This window comes from Homo sapiens, chromosome 5 (genome assembly GCF_000001405.40).
Source record: "Homo sapiens chromosome 5, GRCh38.p14 Primary Assembly".
Classification (NCBI taxonomy): domain Eukaryota; kingdom Metazoa; phylum Chordata; class Mammalia; order Primates; family Hominidae; genus Homo; species Homo sapiens.
In genome coordinates, this window is record NC_000005.10 from 137915439 (window position 1) to 137937009 (window position 21571).

At 39.2% G+C, this 21571-nt stretch overlaps 1 protein-coding gene across 8 annotated transcripts in view; it reads left to right on the plus strand.

Moving 5' to 3' along the window:
- PKD2L2 (polycystin 2 like 2, transient receptor potential cation channel) overlaps positions 1–21571 on the plus strand; it is a 53291-nt gene that overhangs the window by 25982 nt on the left and 5738 nt on the right. For 5 of the 8 annotated variants that reach the window (NM_001300921.2, NM_001258448.2, XM_017009345.3 and 2 more), the window contains 6 exons: positions 6198–6318; positions 7982–8083; positions 9602–9666; positions 10437–10491; positions 20359–20471; positions 20882–20989. In NM_001300921.2, the coding sequence (NP_001287850.1) occupies positions 6198–6318; positions 7982–8083; positions 9602–9666; positions 10437–10491; positions 20359–20471; positions 20882–20972 (547 nt within the window). In that variant the 3' untranslated portion in view covers positions 20973–20989. Of the gene's footprint in view, positions 1–6197; positions 6319–7981; positions 8084–9601; positions 9667–10436; positions 10492–20358; positions 20472–20881; positions 20990–21571 lie in introns of those variants that run through there. The other 3 variants (NM_014386.4, NM_001258449.2, XM_017009343.3) reach the window with 3 other exon arrangements.

Below are 21571 nucleotides of genomic sequence, written 5' to 3' on the forward strand. Positions count from 1 at the left end.
TTGAGATGGAGTCTCACTCTGTCGCCCAGGCTGGAGTGCAGTGGCACAATCTCAGCTCACTGCAACCTCTGCCTCCCAGATTCAAGCAATTCTCCTGCCTCAGCCTCCTGAGTAGCTGGGATTACAGGCGTGCGCCACCATGCCCGGCTAATTTTTGTATTTTTAGTAGACGGGGTTTCACCATGTTGGTCAAGCTGGTATCGAACTCCTGACCTCGTGATCTACCCGCCTTGGCCTCCCAAAGGGGAGGTTTTTTATTGATGTCACAAAATTACATCTTTGTTCATTGTGTCCAAAAACAAACTGAAAAATTTTAATGCATTAGTCTCTTAAATTATGTAGAAAACAAAAATGAAGTTGCAAACTGTTGTTATAATAATACTAGCTTTTATAATTGCTCATGTATTTACCTTTACTAAGAACTGTGTTCCTTCATATGGCTTTATTATCTAGTGTTCTTTCATCTAAACTTGTAGGATTCCTTTTAGAACTTCTTGTAGGATAGATCTAGTGATAATAAACTCCTTCAGTTTTTGTTGATCTTGGAATGTCTTCATTTCTCCCTCACCAATTATGTATACACACATTTTTTTTTTCTTTTTTCTTTTTTTTAAGAGATGGAGGTCTTACTATGTTGCCAAGGCTGGTCTCAAACTTCTGGGCTCCAGTGATCCACCCACCTTGGCGTCCCAAAGTGCTGGGATCACAGGCATGAGTCATCATGCCCAGCTCATTTCTCCCTCACTTTTTTTTTTGAGACGGAGTCTCACTCTGTCACCCAGGCTGGAGTGCAGTGGCACGATCTCGGCTCACCACAACCTCTGACTCCCAGGTTCAAGCAATTCTCCTGCCTCAGTTTCCCAAGTAGCTGGGATTACAGGTGTGCACCATCATACCCAGCTAATTTTTTATATTTTTGGTAGAGATGAAGTTTCATCATGTTGGCCAGGCTGGTCTCAACCACCATGCCCGGCCTCTCCCTCACTTTTGAAGGAGAGTTTTGCCAGATATAAGATTCTTAATTGCCACTTTTCTTCTTTTTTTTTTTTTTTTTTTTTTGAGACAGAGTATTGCGCTTTCACTCAGGCTGGAGTACAGTGGTGTGATCTCAGCTCACCGCAGCCTCAATTTCCAAGGTTCAAGTGATTCTCGTGCCTCAGCCTCCCAAGTAGCTAGAGTTACAGATGCGCACCACCACACCCGGCTAATTTTTGTATTTTTAGTAGAGGCGGGGTTTTGCCATGTTAACCAGGCTGGTCTCGAATTCCTAACCCTGTGATCCACCACCTTGGCCTCCCAAAGTGCAGGGATTACAGGCGTGAGCCACTGAGCCTGGCTGCCACCTTTTTTTTTCTTTTAGCACTTTGAATATATCATTGCACTGCCTTGTAGTCTTCAAAGTTTCTGATGAGAAATATGCTGATAATCTTCTTGAGGATTCCTTGTATGTGATGAGCTGTCAAGATTCTCTGTCTTTGGCTTTTGAGTTTGACTATAATGTGTTTTGGTGTGGCTGTCTTTGAGTTCATTCTATTGGAGTTCACTGAGCTCCTTGGATGTTTAAATTCATATTGTTCATCAAACTTGGGAAGTTTTTGGCCATCATTTCTTCAAATAATCTCTCTGCACCTTTCTCTTTCTCTTATCCTTTTGGAACTTCCATAATGTGTATGTTGGTCTACTTGATGGTGTCCTGCAGGTCTCTTGGTATCTGTTCACTTTTCTTTTTTTTTTTTTTTTTGAGATGGGAATCTCACTCTGTCTCACCCAGGCTGGAGTGCAGTGGTGGGATCTTAGCTTACTGCAGACTCCGCCTGTTGGGTTCAAGCAATTCTCCTGTCTCAGTCTCCTGAGTAGCTGGGAATACAGGCATGTGCCACCACACCCATCTAATTTTGTATTTTTAGTAGAGTCTGGGTTTCACCATGTTGGCCAGGCTGGTCTGGAACTCCTGCCCTCAGGTGATCCACCTGTCTTGGACTCCTAAAGTGCTGGGATTACAAGCGTGAGCCACCCAGCCCTGTTCACTTTTCTTCTTTTTTCTGTTTCTCAGACTCAATAATGTCAATTATCCTATCTTCAAGTTCATTGATTCTTTTTTCTGCCTGCTCAAATCTTCCTTTGAATCTCTTTAGTAAATTTCTCATTTTGGTTATTATTTTTCCATCTTATATTTTTTTGTTTCTTTTTAGGTTTTCTCTTTATTGATATTTCCATTTTGTTCATGTTTTCTTATTTTATCCATGTTTTCCTTTAGTTCTTTCAGCATCTTTAAGACAGTTAAAGTCTTTGTAGTAGGTCACCATCTGGTCTTTCTCAGAGAGCGTATCTACTAGCATGCGTTTTTCTTGTTTTTGTTTTTTCCATTGAATGGCTCATATTTCCATTTCTTTGTGTATCTGGTGATTTTTTGGTGAATTTTTAGATTCAAACTTTGTATGTCTTGTGATTTTGTGATTTTTAAAAAATTCAAACCAGGCTGGGTGTGGTGGCTCACATTTTGGAGCCATTGCACTTTGGGAGCCTCCTAGCAGTTTGGGAGGCCAAGGCAAGTGGATCACTTGGGCCCAGCAGTTTGAGACCAGTCTGGGAAACTAAGGGAGACCATGTCTGTACAAAAAATAAAAAATAATAAAAATTCAAACCAGACATTTGAATCTAATAATGTGATAATTTTGAAAATCAGATTCTTCCCCTTGCCCAGGGTTTGCCATTTTTTGTTCTTATTTTTTATTTTTATAGTCTGGCTCCATGCCAAGGATCACCCTGAGTTGTGCACTTAAGGTCTTCTCAGGTTTTCCTCAGCCTATGCCTTTCCCTGGGCATGCACAATGACTTTTTAACTTACCCTTGATATGGAGTTGGTTTTGAATGTCCTATTCTTTAATGTCTGGATCCCAAAAAAGGAAAAGAGAAGAATAAAGTGAGAGGTAGGGGAAGATAACAGCCCTTTAAATCCCAAGGACATTACTTCAGCTGAAGGACGATGGTCTTGCAACAATGGAGGAGATGCAACAATGGCTGCCCACCTCAGTGTCTGCATCCCCACGATCAGAAGCAGCAATCAGCAATCACCACATAGATCCCCAATATTTGAAAGACATAGTATTTATTCCCCACATGGCTCCCATAAGCTACATGCAAGCTGCTTCACAAACATGTGCATGGATCCCAGCCATGAGGCTAATGAGTAGGGGATGCATAGCTATTGAGATAAAAGCTGAAATTGTCCAAAATTAACAGCAATTTACTGTCCAAGCCTTTCCCTGGAAGTTGCAGGCCTTCTTCAATAGACTCTAGAGTTCCAAAGTAGTACATCTGACAGATTCTGCCCATGTAATTGTTGTCTAGATGGGGACAGGGGAGAAATAAGTTTCCCATGGTTCTCTTCCACCTTCCAAGAATCTTTTTTTTTTTTTTTCCTGATCCAGACGAAATAGTTGAGAAACTGTGTTGCTGGCCATCTCTCAGGAAGGAGACAGAGGCAAGGTCCAGGGCCTGCACAATGTGTGTGTGTGTGTGTGTGTGTGAGTGTGTGTGTGTGTGTGTAGGGAGAGGACCATCTAGTCACCTTTCTATACATCAAGCAGGGAGCCTGAATTGCTACACCCTCAAGTTAAAGATGAATCTCTTGTAGTGACCCAATCAATGACTTCAAGAGAGAGACTGGAAAGTCTTATTAATGACAAATGGCATGTTCTTTTGAAACATACTTTTAGTTATTTTAATTCAATAAGGGAGAACTCTATCTAAAGTTAACAGGGCCATCAAAAAGTTACAAAACAGTATTTTCATTCAATATAACCCTGTATGTTGAGGCGTCATGGTGCTTTTAGCTTGCAAAAAAGAAACAAAATGGATAAACTAAGCTCTAATTAAGAAAAGAGACACTGTATTTGGAGCCTCCAGTTTCGATGAGATTCTAACCATTCAGTAAATGCTTCAGTTTTTGTCATTCTCCCTATTACAGAGCAGAAGTATCTTAACACTTTCCTAACAGAAAAGGGCTGAATGGAAGCTTTGGTTACTAAGCTAACATCTGGAGAGGAGAAAAGAATGAGAATGGTTCCTTCATCTTTTTTTTTTTCCCCAACTCAAAGATGAAAGATCATGGCAGAAACACTAAAACAGAACCTCTTATTCTCCTATGCCAGAAAAAATATTTGATTTGTGGTGAGACTTTCCACCAATTCCTTCCAATTCAGTATTTTCTCTATCTTATGTAGGAAAGCATTACAAACCAGTATTAAAAGCAAGATAAATACTTTAGGTATGATTTGGTCAGGTCTCAGCTAGGTACCGTGGATGGAATCTCAGATAACTCTGAGTCCTAGGACTTCATGTAGCCCATTTCTTTGAATGCTTTTTCTTCCTTCATTAAAGCTTTTTGCTCCTTTTATGTGATTGGCAAAAGCAATAAGGGACAAGCAGGCTTTCTCCCTTTTCACTGACCAATTACGCAGTTATCAACATACGATTAAACATTTGTTTCCACGCGCCTGTAATTCCAGCACTTTGGGAGCCCAAGGCGGGTGGATCACCTAAGGTCAGGAATTTGAGACCAACCTGGTCAACGTGGTGAAATCCTGTCTCTACTAAAAATACAAAAATTAGCCAGGCATGGTGGCATGTGCCTGTCATCCCAGCTACTCAAGAGAGGCTGATGAGGCAGGAGAATCGCTTGAACCGGGAAGATGGAGATTGCAGTGAGCCAAGATCCCACCACTGCACTCCAGTCTGCGTGATAAGAGTGAAACACCGTCTCAAAAAAAAATTTTTTTCCAAATTTCCTCATAAAGAACACACACACATAATTTAAACTGATATTCCTGATACGTCCAGTGAGACCACTGCAAGTTAATAATGAGAAAATAAAATAAGATTTTCAAGTTAGAAAATTCTAATTCTACTTGTTACTACTGTGCTACTCAAAGTCTTAATTTCTTCATTTTTCATCTTTAAAATTAGAAAAAGGAAGGTTTGAAATATTTTAAGTGGTATTTCATATCAAACCAGGCTATCAAAGAGGGTAAAATAGGGCCGGGCACAGTGGCTCATGCTTGTAATCCCAGCACTTTGGGAGGTTAAGGCAGGTGGATCATGAGGTCAGGAGTTCGAGACCAGCCTGGACAAGATGGTGAAACCCCATCTCTACTAAAAATACAAAAATTAGCTGGGCGTGGTGGCACACGCCTGTAGTCCCAGCTACTCAGGAGGCTGAGGCAGGAGAATTGCTTGAACCCGGGAGGCAGAGGTTGTGGTGAGCCGAGATCGTGCCATTGCACTCCAGCCTGGGCGACAAGAGCGAAACTCCATCTAAAAAAAAAAAAAAATCACAAAGAGGGTAAAATAAACCTTAGGATCATGTTGAGTATTATTATCAGCACTTGAGACTAGCAAGTGACAAATTGTTGGCATCCCTATTTTATCAGAATTTAAGAGTTGGTTAAGACAAAAATTCACTTCACTGACATTAGAAAGTTTAGGGCTCTTGGGTCTAAACCTTCTACAAGTTGAAAAATCACTTGTTGAACCAATTCAAAGTTCTAATGTTTAGAAGGGCACAGGCACAGCCGGCCAAGGAGGCCACTGCCAAAACCAGTTAGTAAACAGGTATCTCAGGTTCAAATGTTATAGGTGGGCTGGGTGTGGTGGCTCATGCCTGTAATCCCAGCACTTTGGGAGGCCGAGGTGGGCGGATCACTTGAGGCCAGGAGTTTGAGATCAGCCTGGCCAACATGGTGAGGCTGTCTCTACTAAAAATACAAAAAAAGTAGCTGGGCATGGTGGTGCACACCTGTAATCCCAGCTACTTGGGAGTCTGAGGCAGGAGTATTGCCTGAACCTGGAAGACAGAGGTTGCAGTGAGCCGAGATAGCACCACTGCACTCTAGCCTGGGCGACAGAGTTTGACTGTCTCAAAGAAAAAAAAAAAAAAGTTATAGATGAACACTGAGTTCACATTCATTAAAGCGGTCATTTCCTACATTACCTATTCAGCTATCGAGGTACCTTAAGTCTTTCCTTTAGGGGAATTTTCTACATCCAATTTTACACAACTCTGTACTAACATAATTAAAGTCAGAAAGCATATACCATATGCTGCTAGATATCCTCTTAGAGACATTAGTAACTCCCATCAGTTGTCATGTATGTACATAAAGGTATATATTTTCTACTGTTTTTCTTTCTTAAAGATTTGCACAATTTCGAATTGTTCTTGGAGATTTTAATTTTGCTGGTATTCAGCAAGCCAATCCTATCTTGGGACCCATTTACTTCATCACTTTCATCTTTTTTGTGTTCTTTGTCCTGCTGGTAAGAATAATACATATTCCTTTCATTTCTTACTTTTTAGAATAAAAAGTAAAATTACTCATTTAGAATAAACTATTATTTCTGCTCAGCTGTCAGAGTACTTTACATTTATTGAGAATTGTGTGGATCCCTAGTAATCCAGGTTCACTAGTCCAGTGACTGTTTTCAAGTTGCAGAATGTAATCACAGTAGTTAATTTCTGGGTGTTTTAGACGGGAATGTGCTAAATCCTTCACATAAATAATTGGAATGTCCCAAGTCTCTTCAGGCTGGGACAATGCATGCCATGAGTCATGAATGTGGCCATTAATATTCTGCCCATATTGCAATGGCTTTTGGCCCTTACAGCTAAACACTTACCACGTTGTGGTTTTCAGGAGTTATCAGGATGGATCTCTCACATGCACTCAGAACAAGTCTATTTGGGCCTCCTAACCAAGGAATCTTGCCTTTCTAGTTAAGGCACTGTACTGTCCTCCATGAAAACACTTTTTGTCAGGCACGGAAGTTATCCCCTGGTGACAGACAAGAGTCTTAGGGTGACAGAGCTGGGCCACAGTGAAAGGTGAGCTGGTGGGGTAAGAATATCCTTTCTACATTTGTGTTATCTGGACATTAGTAGTTGCAGGAGCTGTAGTAAGACTGTAAATTTAAACAGCTTCATAGAATTAAAAAACAACAGTAACAACAAACATCCTTGGCTGGACGCAGTGGCTCACACCTACAATCCTTGCACTTTGGGAGGCAGAGGCAGGCGGATCGCTTGAGCTCAGGAGTTCAAGACCAGCCTGGGCAACATGACGAAATGCTGTCTCTACTAAAAATACAAAAATTAGCTAGGCGTGGTGATGTACACCTATAATCCCAGCTACTTGGGTGGCTGGGGCATGAGAATCGCTTGAACCTGGGAGTGGGAAGCTGCAATGAGCTGAGATCGCACAACTGCACTCCAGCCTGGGCAACAGGGTGGGACCCTGTCTCAAAAACAAACAAAAAAATGCCCTTATGAACACATAATTATTCATTCTAAATTTTCTTCCATTATGTAATATTAATTTGTGTATATATAACCAGTTCATATGCATTCTTTTACATTCTGCTTTTCTCATTTGCCATAAACATATTTGCCCATACCCACACACTACACATTTTCTATTCTACTTTATTGTCTGCATAGTCATCTCCCCATTTTTGAGCATATGGGTTATATGGGTTACTTTTAAAATTTGATTTTTTTTGTTGTTTTTCCTTTTTCTTTTCTTTTTTTTTTTTTTAGACGGAGTCTTGCTCTGTCACCCGGGCTGGAGTGCAGTGGTGCGATCTCACTCGGCTCACTGCAACCTCCACCTCCTGGGTTCAAGAGATTCTCCTGCCTCCACCTCCCGAGTAGCTGGGACTACAGGTGTGCACCACCACGCCTGGCTAATTTTTGTATTTTTAGTAGAGACAGGGTTTTGCCATGTTGGCCAGGCTGATCTTGAACTCCTGTCCTCAAGTGATTCACTCACCTTGGTCTCCTGGGTGCTGGGATTACAGGCGTGAGCCACCGCACCTGGCCTACTTTTAAAATTTAAATATAATTTTACAAACCCAAAACTTGTTAAAGTCATTAACATTTAAACTAAATTTTTATTGAAATAATTATTTGAATACTTATCCCTAGAATATGTTCTTGGCAATTATTAATGATACCTATTCTGAAGTGAAAGCTGACTATTCAATAGGCAGAAGGCTAGATTTTGAACTTGGCAAAATGATTAAACAGGTAAGTCAAATTTCTTTCCTAATTAGAATTCTAAGACAAACCTCATATAGTTTATCCTCTTGTAGTTTGAATACCACTTAATTCCAAGTGGTCGTGCTCTCCCCACTCCCACCCCATCCCATCCCCAGGGTTTGTTTTGTGTTTTGATCCAGTGTTACTCATATTCGCATTATTTCATTATTACAGAAGTGAGATATGCTCTCTGACTTCAAAAATGTAGCCAAAATTATTTCAGAGTTCAATATATCAAATAGTTATTGAGTGATTTCCTAAATGCAAAGCGCTGCTGAGTATTATAATAAAACCCTCTCTTCCTTCCGGAAAGTTTTTGCTCTGAATGCTGTTAAATTTCTATCAACAATCTAAACTCAGAACTCCATGTGTCGTCTTCCTCATTTTCCTGTTTCTGTTCATGGCTACACTATCCTCTCAAGTCACTCCTGGCTCAAAAACCATGAAAAGAATTTGTTTCCTTGTCCCTTATATAGTCTATTGTCACGGCACATGTATAGTTTATCTCTGCAGTTCTTGCTTACATTTGTGGAATACTTTAAATTCTAACTGCCACCACTAGATGAGGCTTTCAGTACTTTTCGCCCAGCCTTCACTATGGTAACATTTCCTGACTATTCTAGCCTCTTCCCTGTGCCAGTCCAGATGTGATTATCAGTTTCCCTAATCCTGTCAAGTCCGAATTCCTTACCTGAATATTCCAAATCCTCAAGTCTCACAGTCCTAACCTGTCTTCATTAACTATAATTTTACTATAGTCTCTACCTTTCTGCCTCTATTTACAATACTGTATGTCCCGGCTAATCTGTTTTGTGACGCTTATTCTCTCTCCTCTGAGCCTCTGCTCAAGTCATTCTCTGACCCCGGAAATATTCCTACAGCTCTTCTCTCTTGCTACCATTCTATTCTTCAAAAAGTGGAATCTGTCCTGTCCTCTTCTCAGTATCTACCTCAGTTTGAGCTGTAGCAGAGTTATATGTGTACCAGTCACATCTCCCCTGCCAGTTTGGCCATCTCTGCATGCCCCATGTTTCTAAAGCATAGCACTTCACAGAGAAGAGGTCCTAGTAGCTGCAGGGTTAGTGGGGTTTACGAACTTTGTCCAAGAACTAATCTGTAAAACAAACCAAAAAAACTGTAAAGCTATCCCCCAATTAGTTTGCTTTTTTCCCCATCTTTTATCACTTGAATATGATGTTGGTTATATTCATTAAAAGTGTTAACATCCTTAACGCAATACATGTTAACGCTTTTTAAAGATTTTTGCTTTTTCCAAGTTCCAGAGTAATGCCCCCAACAGAAGAACCCCTTTTGGGTTTTCACCAGCAGGCGTAAACCATATGTAGCAATGAGGTGAAAGAAGGATAATCATAGCATTTACCTCCACAGTCCTTTAGGGTAGCAATCCAGAGGGACAAGCATTCCATATTTATTTTACTTTGATAAAACATTAATAATCAAGGATATATTTTAATGCATTTTCAAACTATTTTAAATTATGCCCAGAGTTACAAAAATGTTCTCGAGAAATTCAGACTGAAGAAAGCTCAAAAAGATGAAGACAAGAAAACGTAAGATGACTTCTCTCAAATGTTTAACTTACCATTTTAAAGTTCCACATTATATGAGAACCTTATAAGGTTTTTTTTGTTTTTTGTTTGTTTGTTTGTTTTAAATAGAGATGGGGTTTCACCATGTTGGTCAGACTGGTCTCAAACTCCTGACCTCAGGTGATCCCAAAGTGTTGGGATTACAGGCGTGAGCCACCGTGCCTGGCCATGAATAAGGTTTTAATTGCAAAACCACCACCAACCTATGTGGCGATTCTAAATACACCCAGTACACCCAGGAGTGCCTCCTAATTTCTGAGGACATCATGAAATTCTAGCTAATTTAAAATTAATATAATGCCTGCCATCCTACTCAGAAAAAGCTGTAAGAGAAAGCTGGAGGGGACCATAAAGTCCCTCTAAAAAGGTTAGAAACAATTTTAGTCTAAATTAAATGCATTTATTTGGCTATAAAAATAAAAACATTTACACACAATACTTACGGACAATACTTATACTTACACTGTATTTACACTTGTATTTATTAAATGACTTTGGTGTCAAAATACTTCCCAAACCCAGAACTCTGGCAGTGGAACATAAACATTTTTTTCACAGTTAATGACATATGATACTCTGAAGAGCTTGTTAATGATCACATTTTCCAAATAATTAGCATTATCAGGAAGAAATATTATTCAGATCCTTACTACAGATCCGATTGTACTTTATGGTGGCATTTCCTTTCTTATTGTCATTTGCCTCTGACTTTTATTTTATATTCTCAATAGCAAAGGCAGCGGAGATTTGGCTGAACAAGCCAGAAGAGAAGGCTTTGACGAAAATGTAAGATTTTAATTTTTTTCATAAACACTAGTGGTAGCTGTATTAGAAATATGCTCACAAAAACGCTCTGGTTAAGAATTGAAATGATTTGCTGTTTTTCAGAATAGTAATTGTCATCTCCAAATAAATCTCCCAGAATCTAGATCCTTTCATGTTTAGGACAAACCATTTGGATTTCAGATGCTTCCTCTCTCCTACCTGTACTCTCAGCCAGATACGTAATCCTACAGGTGTACACTCACTGTGTGAATATCACACTGGGTATTCATAGTGAGATATTTGATGACTTGATAACTTTTCTCTTCTAATCACTAATGTGATGAATTACTTTAACAATTTTGTATTTCAAAAATTGTAATATGTAACATATATCTGACAATAGCAGAATTTAAGGAACATATATGTTCCTTAAATATACTATTACCACTACCACTTAAAAAAAAAAAAGTGAACCATTGCTCTACTTCTGGTCACCACCTCTCCCCTCTAAATGCTCAGAAAGAAGGCAGCAGAATCAGGAGACTGTAATAAGCAAGCAAATAAATATTGAAGTTCTCATTTTCGGATAAAGGAATTATACAAATGGAAAGGCTGAAGGTGAACTTTGTGGTGCTGGATTGGAATCTAGATCTATTTGCGTACATACATGTATTTTCTAGCTCTGTCCAATCCACTATGAGGGCTAGAATGACACCCTAGTAGCAATGAGCACTAGTACCCAGATCTTGGCTTCCAAATAGCATTCTCCTCTAAAACCAACTGGGGCTCCTTCGAGGTCTCGCTAATTCCAGGGCTGGAAAGTACAGCTGCCTCTTGAACAACATGGGTTTGAACTGCACAGGTCCACTTAAATGCGTAATGTTTTAACCTGGATCAAAAATTTAGTATTTGCGGGCTAAGGAGGGCTGACTTTTCCCTATATGTGGGTTCTGCAGGGCCGACTGTGAGACTTGAGTATATGCAGATTTTGGTGTACTTTGGGGTCTTGGAACCAATCCCCCATGTATACCAAAGGACAACTATACAAGATGAGTCTGGAATAGCTTATTGAGACATAAAGTAAAACTGCTCAAAGAATGATGGAGTATCTGTTAAAAGAATCAGTTTAAGGAGCTCAAGCTGGCCAAATTTGAGAATATTTAAGCATTATGATGAATAATGATTCATAACCCATTGAATAAAAGGATTCCATGAATGAGACGTTTACAGACCTCTCCACCAAATACTTATTACAAAAAGAAAAGCAGTCATGTTAGGGTGGAGAAAGTCTAACAGCACCTTAATCAAGTAAGTGACCACTATCAACACTGAAACAAATGGAAATTATATGCTGCCTGATAGGAGGCCATGAGAATTAGCATCCTTTCTGTGACATCCTTGTCAAAGACATATAATCTTAACCTAAATCATGACAAAATTTAAATTGAGGGACATTCTACAAAATAACTGGCCTGTTCTTCAAAAGTGTCAAGTCATGAAGTCAAGGTAAAGCTGAGGAACTATTCCAGATTAAATGAGATTAAAATGATATGTCAAGTAAATACAATACATAATCATGGACTGGATAATTTTCCTATAAAGGCATCATTGGGGCAACTGATAAACTTGAAAGAGAAACAGAGGATTAGATGGTAATAATCTATGAATATTAATTTTTTATTCTGATGGTTATACTATAATTATAAAAGAGGATGTCCTTGTATGCAGGAAATACAGACTGAAGTATTCAGGGATGATGGAGCATTCGTGTTGGTGGCTTTCAAATACTTCAGGAGGAAAAAATATTTGTATTGTTCTTGTAACTTGTATCTAAATTTGGTATTTGTTTTTGAGACCAAACCCAGATAATTTTTGTATTTTTAGTAGAGACCAGGTTTCACTACGTTGGCCAGGCTGGTCTCGAACTCTTTACCTCCTGCCTGGCCTAAATTTGATATTCTTTAAAAAAAATCAGGCCGGGTGCGGTGGCTCACGCCTGTAATCCCAGCACTTTGGGAGGTGGAGGTAGACCATTCCTGAAATAGAAGGTGACGTGAATTGAAAGACATACTGTGTATATGGGAAACTTTACCTAGAATGGTCAATAAGAGGCTTATCCAAGTAAAATTTGGGTTTACTTAAAGAAAATCAGGTTAGCATAACAACATTCAACCATAAATCAACAGAAGAACACCTACAATATATTCAAGGAAAGAAAATGTAAACCAAGGAATTTTATATTCAGCAAAGCTGCGCTTCAAATATAAAGGCTCAAACATGCCTGAAGTCAGGAAATACTATCGTCTTTCTAAGGATTCTATTAGAGGATGAGCATCAGCCAACCAAGAGATGACTGGAGAGGCTGGGCGAGCTGGCTCACACCTGTAATCCCAGCACTTTGGGAGGATCACTTGAGCCCAGTAGTTTGAGACCAGCCTGGACAACATGGTGAAACCCTGTCTCTACAAAAAGTACAAAAAAAAAAAAAAAAAAAAGTTAAAGAATATCATTTAGAATTAATAAACCAGTAAGAAACATAATACGACAAGGTTAGCTCTGTTGCCCAGCATGGAGTGCAGTGGCATGATCACAGCTCACTGCAGCCTCGACCTCCATGGGCTCAGGTGATCCTCCCACCTCAGCTTCCCAAGTAGCTGGGACTACAGGCATGCGCCATCACACCCAGCTAAATTTTGTGTTTTTTGTACAGATGAGGTTTCACCATGCTACCCAGGCTGGTCTCGAGCTTCCGGGCTCAAGTGATCCACCCGCCTTGGCCTTCCAAAGTCTTGGGATTACAGCTGTGAGCCACTGGGCCCAGGCTTTTCTTTTTTAAAATTACATAGTGATGGCATCTCACTGTGTTGCCCAGGCTGGCCTTGAACTTCTGGCCTTGAGCGATCCTCCCGCCTTGGCCTCTGAAAGTGTTGGGATTACAGGCATGAGCGAGCCACTGTGCCCAGCCCTATTTTATTGATTTTAAAACACATTTTTTTTCACATTTTAACATCTGTGAAATCAGAATGTGTTTTATAATTAATGGTCAAAGTTTAATTGACATTTTTTACCTAAGTGGTACATGAAATAATGTTATGTCTTACAAAAGACGTCATCTCTCACATACAATGAAAAATAACATTATTGAATATAATTGGGTAGTAGAGGAGAGGACAATGAAGAAGAATTTACAAGCTAATTTGCTTGTTGATCATAGCAGGGAAACAAAGCAAGAAAGGGAGGACTAAGGGTATATAAAAAGATACACAAAGATGGCCGGGCGCAATGGCTCATGCCTGTAATTCCAGCACTTTGGGAGGCTGAGGCGGGTGGATCACCTGAGGTTGGGAGTTTGAGACCAGCCTGACAAACATGGAGAAACCCTGTCTCTACTAAAAATTAAAAATTAGCTGGGCATGGTGGCTCATGCCTGTAATCCCAGCTACTTGGGAGGCTGAGGCAGGAGAACTGCTTGAACCTGGGAGGCGGAGGTTGCGGTGAGCCGAGATCGGGTCATTGCACTCCAGCCTCGGTGACAAGAGCGAAACTCCATCTCAAAAAAAAAAAAAGATATACAAAGACAAACCAATAGAACAAAAATACATATATTTCTATAGGACAAAATTGCCAAAAAAAAAAAAAAAAAAAAAAAAACAGACCACACGGTAAAAGACTTAAAATATAAATATAAAACAGTATAACTGCAACCAGATATATCTAACATAAATACATGCAAATAAGCTTAATTTACTTAAAAAGAAAAATATTTTCATCCAGCAAAGCTGTGCTTCAAATATAAAGGCTCGAACATGCAAGAACTTAGGGAATACTATCATCTTTCTAAGGATTCTACTAGAGGACAGATGACATTTGAATCACAAAGCAAACCCAGTTCTATGCTATATCCTAAAATATATACTTAAAGAGATTCCAAAATGTTAAATATAAAAGCATGATCAAAGACCTAAAAGGCAAACAAAAGATATCAGGGGACACAACTGAATATAAATCAAAGGATTCTAGACAAAAAGCTCCAAATGACCTAAAGTCTAAACTTTATGAGGCTAAGATTAATTTTATCAGTTATGAATATCTATGCACCAAACAGAGTATCAACTTTAATAAAGATTACTGGATTTTAAAAAGGAGAAATAGGAACACACAAAAAAAACAAAGAACAGATCAAGAAAAACAAACGGATTAAAAAGCCCAAAACAATATAATAAATAAGATGATCGTACAGTTGTATATTAAGTTCTGTACTCTCAGAAAATACCCCTCCTTTTTAAAAACTCATTCATAAAAACTGCTCACCTATTGGGCCACAAGGAAATCCTCAATACATTCCAAAAGTTAATGCAGAAAAAAATTCTATGAAAACAACATAATAAAAATGTTAGTAACAAAATCAGAAAATGAAAAAATTCTTTGACTAAAAAATATCAAAACTCTCTATTAAATGACTCGAGTCAAAGAAGAAATACAGGCCGGGTGCAGTGGCTCATGCCTGTAATCCCAGCACTTTGGGAGGCTGAGGTGGGCGGATCATGAGGTCAGGAGTTCGAGACCAGCCTGACCAACATGGTAAAACCCCATCTCTATTAAAAATACAAAAATTAGCCGGGTGTGGTGGCACACGCCTATAATCCCAGCTACTCAGGAGGCTGAGGCAGGTGAACACCGGGAGGTGGAGGTTGCAGTCAGCCAAGATCACGCCACTGTACCAATCCAGCCTGGGTGACAAAGTGAGACTCCATCTAAAAAAAAAAAAAAAAAGAAAATGAAATCATAGAATTCCAAGAAAACAAAATAATAAAAACACCATGTAGCAGAATCTGAGATAAAGTAAAAAAAAAATACTCAGAGGAAAATTAAGTCTTAAATTTATCAATAAAAATAAAAGAATGTAAAGAAGTGAATGTTAGAATTTTCAAAAAAATGATAAATACCAAGAAAAAAGTTATTAAGATTAAAGTAGAATGAGTTATAAACAATAGTAGTAGTATAAATAAATCAAAAGGCTAGTTCCTTGCAAACATCAGTGAAAAGAAATCACTAGGTAACTAGTGGAATAAAGGAGAGAAAGCATAAACATACAAAGTAAGAAATTACAATGGGGGAAATAAGAAATGGAAGGAATTAAAAGATCTCACTAATAGACTTTTTTGTATAACTCTATGAAAATAACATTTGAAAAACTGAATGAAATGGGCAATATTTCTATGAAAATAAAATTTATCAAAACTGAGCCCAGAAGATAAAAAGCCTAAACAAATCCATTCTGTAGAAGAAATGAAGTCATCAAAGAGCTGTCTCCAAAATCAATCAGACGGTCTTCACAAGGAAATTCTACAAGATTTTAAGGAGCAAACAGTTTCAAGCTATTTAAGCTATTCCTCTTTGCCCTAGCAAAGAGAAAAAAGAAAATGCCCTGGCAAAGAGAAAAGAAAAACTCCCAAATTACGTTTATGAAACTACTATATATTGTGCCAAAAACAGGAAATCTCATGTATACATCTTAAAGCAAAAATCCTAAATATTAGCAGATAGAATCTAACAGCACACAATAATATATGAAGATTCAGATAGTATTTATTTTAGGCATGAAAAGATGGTTCAAAATTGGGTAATCAACTAATCAACGTAATTCATTGCATTAAAAAAGGAAAACTGCATGATCATTTTCCACAAATGCTGGGTATTTTATAAGTTTCAACACCCAATCTTGAGGGGAAAAATAAAAATCAATGATATTTCCTTGATATGATAAAAACATTGATCTTATCCTCTTCACCTTACTTAATAGGAAAACATTGAACATGTCAGGGACAAGATAGTGATGTATTGGAGGGGTAAAGTCAAAACAATTAGATAAGAGAACTACATTAGAGGTATTTCTAATTGAAAAAAGTAAAACTGCCTTTACTTATGATTCTCTTCAATTTTCTAGGTATATGATGATCTGAAAAATTACAATAAAAAGATAATTAGGTAAACTGGTAGGAAAAATAATTTACATAAATGTCATATATGCAAACATCAATTGGTTTGGTAAAAATTATAATAGAAGACCTTATTTGTAACAGCAACAAAGTAGAAAATGCCCAGCAATTAACAAAATGTTCAAAACCAAGATAAAAAACTTTAAACATTCCTTAAAGACACAAAAATACCGGGCATGGTGGTTCATACCTGTAATCCCAGCACTTTGGGACACTTGAGGCGGGTGGATCACTTGAGGTCAGGAGTTTGGTGAACATGGTGAAACCCCATCTCTACTAAAAAATACAAAATTAGCCAGGCGTGGTGGTGTGCACCTGTAATCCCAGCTACTTGGGAGGCTGAGGCAGGAGAATTGCTTGAACCCAGGAGGTGGAGGTTGCAGTGAGCCAAGATCACGCCACTGCACTCCAGCCTGGACAACAAGAGCGAAACTCTGTCTCAAAAAAAAAAAGACACAAAAATACACCTGACCAAATGAGAAAACGTACTACATCTAACAATCAGAGCCCACTCAGAAAGAAACCATAATATGTATTTCAAATAGAGAAAATATACTACAGTGAATTGATTACTACACAGGTATTAAAAGACAGAAAAAAGTGAAATGATAACACTGAGACAACTCATAAATAATGACTGCAGGAAGAGGTTACCACTCCTAGGGCTAAGATTACAAAAGGTGGTGTTACTAGAACCTACTATCTTAGAGAAGGGGCTTGTGGAGCTGTTGCTCAGTCCTGTGATGAGAAGGTACCTCACTGCTGCTGCTGATAAAGGTTAAGTATTCTTTATCCAAAATGCTTGGGACCCAGAAGTGTTTTAGAGTTCAGATTTTTTTTGGATGTTGGAATATCTGCATTATATACCTACTGGTTCCGCATTCCTAATTCAAAAATTTGAAATCCAAAATGCTCCAGTGAGCATTTCCTTTGAGAGTCATCGAGGTGCTAAAGTTTTGGATTTTGAACACTTCAGATTTCCGATTAGGGATACTCAATCTGTACTTCTTGAGTGGGTGTGATGAGGCTGCTTCTGAGTATGCCAAAAGCAGCTAGATGCTACAGCTAGAGCCACTGTTGCTGGAGATAACTACCATTGCATAAGCAGTGCCAATAGAAACAGAACAAAAAACAAAACAAACCAAAAAAAAAAAAAAAACCCACGACCTTTCTCCCCTCTATCCTGCAAATACTGGCAGAATCTAACAGGAATCCAGGTATTAACAGTTTAGGGAATGAAGCTTACAAAGCCTAAAACCCAACATCACAGAGTATAAGAGGGTAAATTTTGAGCTGAACAGTTGGTCCATTCCACTCCTGTGGCATACACATTTGCACTTCCATAAAATGATGATTCCAAGCTTCTATCCAGTAAGATCAAACTATCCTTTATACAAATGAAGGTACTTTCACCTTCTCCCTAAAAAGGGAGAAGCAAAGTCCCAACAGTAATTGTATCCATCTGTGGATATTATGACCTCTTCTAGTTGAATCACAATTCCTTAAGAATACTTTGCAACCTAATGTTTAAACTACAGTTAGCCACCACCAGTATTCCTTAGATAAAGGAGAAAGAAAATATACACATAACAAGCAAAGAAGGAAATAGGAATAGGGCTACAGTCTTTGTTTCTGTAACAGATTACAAGGCTACAGTTGGTATTTATAACTTCCTTCTCCTACCCATTCCGTATCATTCCCTTTGCCTACAGCCAAGAGCTCAGCCAGCTGCATTAGGAATAACCTTAATTAGTTCAGAATCTGAACTCTCAGTGGTCCTGCCTTTAACAGAATGCTGTGGTTTCCCATTACCTTTTACTTTTGGACATCTAAGTATTAAGAGGCATACCAGAGAATCCCTTGGGCACAGTCTGCTCTGTGCTAGTTTGTGGCAGTAATCCAATTTCCCCTTGGTAATTCGCATCAATCACCTCAACACATAAATAACCACTTCTTTCCCTGCTGGTTCTGTAGGCATGAGGAATCCCAAACGGTCAAGTGGCAGTCTCAAATTCAGTTTAAGTCAATTGTTGTGCCCCTTGGTGGAAGCATGCAATCTATGAGGGTCTATTTCTTTGGGTCTCCCCTGCTACCAATTATTCATCAGTTAAGAGTTGTCAGAAAAACAGAAATCACTTAGGTAATTTAAAAAGAGGGAGTTTGGTATACAGAATTTGCTTCTGAGATATTGCAGGAGTGTAAGGGCCAATATGAACATGAAGATCATCCAGAGACAACTAACTGCAGGAGGCAGCTACCACAAGGGAAGGTGGTAGGGCGAGCAGGACGTAGGAGCTTGGAGCAAGGGTCACCAAAGAGTTGGTGCTCAGCTTATGAGGAAAGGTACCACTTTCCTCTAAGTGTCAAGGAAGGCTTCACAAAAAGAGTGATGGCTGAGACGGGTTTTTAAAATAAGTTTACTATGCATAGTCTATTTTACTTTTATTACTAATACATCCACTTTATAATTGGCCTGGTCATTTAGAAATGGTTTCAGGGACTACCACTTTAGCACATTAAAAGTATTAGTAAATGAGCCAAACCATGGGTGCTATAATGTGTCCAAAACAAAACTAGGATTGAAAGCCATCCTTTCCTACTTCGAATATGTTCGTTTAAGGCTGGGCGCGGTGGCTCGCACCTGTAATCCCAGCACGTTGGAAGGCCGACGCAGGCGGATTACTTGAGGCTGGGAGTTCAAGACCAGCCTGGCCAACATGGCGAAACCCGTCTCTACTAAAAAAAAATACAAAAATTAGCCAGATGTGGTGGTGCACGCCTGTAATCCCAGCTACTCGGGAGGCTGAGGAAGGAGAATCCTTTGAACCCGGGAGGGGTGGTTAGCATTCAACTTCCACATCGAATGCTAAGATTGTGCCACTGCACTGCAGCCTGGGTGACAGAGTGGGAGGCTGCAGTGAGCCGAGATCGTGCCACTGCACTCCAGCCTGGGTGACAGAGTGAGACTGTCACACACACACACAAAAGAAAAAAAAATGTTGGTTTAAAGAAAGGCACTCTCTAAGATAGTTTCTCTGACCAGAAGAGTACACACTTATCAAGCAACCACAGAGTGTATGGCACTAGGCATCACCATCCTCTCTGAGGAAGGTAATCATAACCCTTATAAAGGGATCCACTTTGCTACCTAGCATTATTGCTGGAGCAGGGAAGTATCATACAAATTTACTGAGAAGGTTTTGAATCACATCTGGGTGCATTGTCTCCTCTTTACCTTTTTCTAGTGCTATGGTTATTTTCCACAACACACAGGCCCTTTTTATCTGTAGCTGGGAAAAGGGTATTTGGACACTGTAAGGAAAGCAGGTGGTAGTGAGAACAGTGCACAGGAAGGTTCAGCAATACAAATTTTGTGGTACAAAGGGCTTGTTTTTGGATACGTAGACAGACTGGAGTACACACATTGACTAACCAATGCAGTAATTACAAAGAGGGGGTTTTGAAGTCATCTGACTGAGAAGCTGCTGGGAAGGCCAAAAATACCCACAGATACACTTTGAATCTAATTACTAGTTACATTTGCTAAATAACAGAGGTACAGAAAGAACATCTTAGCTTTGATCACAAGAAAGAGAAAATAATTTAGATGGAGATGCTAAAGGGAAAAGGCAGTGAAATGTAATTTATAATTTGTTTACAAAGCTTCCCTAACTATGCTAGACAGCAATTACACCAATCAAGTCCTCTGAAGTGACTTTGCTGATGCACAGATCTAAAATCTAGGCAGGGCAAAAAGTCAGCAGGGCTCAAAATCTGAGGGCTGGAGAGGAGAACAGCTTAAGATCCTCAATCCTGTGATGCTTGTGTGCCAAAGACTTGAAATAGAGAACTAAAGATTGCAGCCTTTACTTGTCCTCTACCCTGACAGGAGATTCAAAACGCAGAGCAGATGAAAAAATGGAAAGAGAGGCTTGAGAAAAAGTATTATTCTATGGAAATTCAAGATGACTACCAGCCTGTCACTCAAGAAGAATTTCGAGAGTAAGCTTATGTTCTAACCAGACTATTATGGGATATCATGACATGCGCATTAAGGACATGAGTTAAACACATTATTTTCCTGAACCCAAAACTTTACTCTATTAGGATGCCTTTATTTACTTTCTATCCAGTTTTAAAGTTGCATATGACTCCATTTGCTTACAAGGTGAGAAGCTTTTGATTACATCCCTGTTATCTCTAAATAACAGAAACTGCCATCTATATTTGATTTGCATAACAGATCCTGTTCTCCACATAGCTTTAGAATATTAGATCTATAACTGGCCACAAGAGGCATGTTTTAGGAGCTTACAATTCTATCTTCCCAAAGCATTTCGCACTAGTAACTTGCTGTCTATACATGAAAGTTTATTACTGACTCATTCTCTACTTCCTTCGAAATTTTCTAGACTTTTTTTATATGCTGTGGAGCTGGAGAAGGAATTACACTACATCAATTTGAAGCTAAATCAAGTGGTGAGAAAGGTTTCAGCTCTATAGTATTGAGACAAGTGGAGGTAAGAATCTGTGATGCAATCATTGAGCATTTCTTTTTTTTTTTTTGAGACGGAGTCTCGCTCTAACGCCCAGGCTGGAGTGCAGTGGCGTGGTCTCGGCTCACTGCAAACTCCACCTCCCGGGTTCAAGCGATTCTCCTGCCTCAGCCTCCCGAGTAGCTGGGACTACAGGCATCCGCCACCGTGCCCAGCTAATTTTTTGTATTTTTAGTAGAGACGAGGTTTCACTGTGTCAGCCAGGATCGTCTCGATCTCCTGACCTCGTGATCCACCCGCCTTGGCCTCCCAAAGTGCTGGGATGACAGGCGTGAGCCACCGCACCCAGCCCATTGAGCATTTCTTATTCATGTATTACTTCATAAACTTGTGCCCTTTTCAGGCACACTTTAAAAAGTACTCAACAACCTATCATCAAACTATCCTTAGGGTCAGAATGAAGTGCCTCTGACAGGGACTCACTATACAATCCATGCATATTATGACAAGCCTCCAGTATACACACACTGGTACAAAGGATTTTATAATGAGGTTTATTATCAAATTCTAGAAAAGTGAAAGTACAAGAAAATGCTTCTAGTTCAG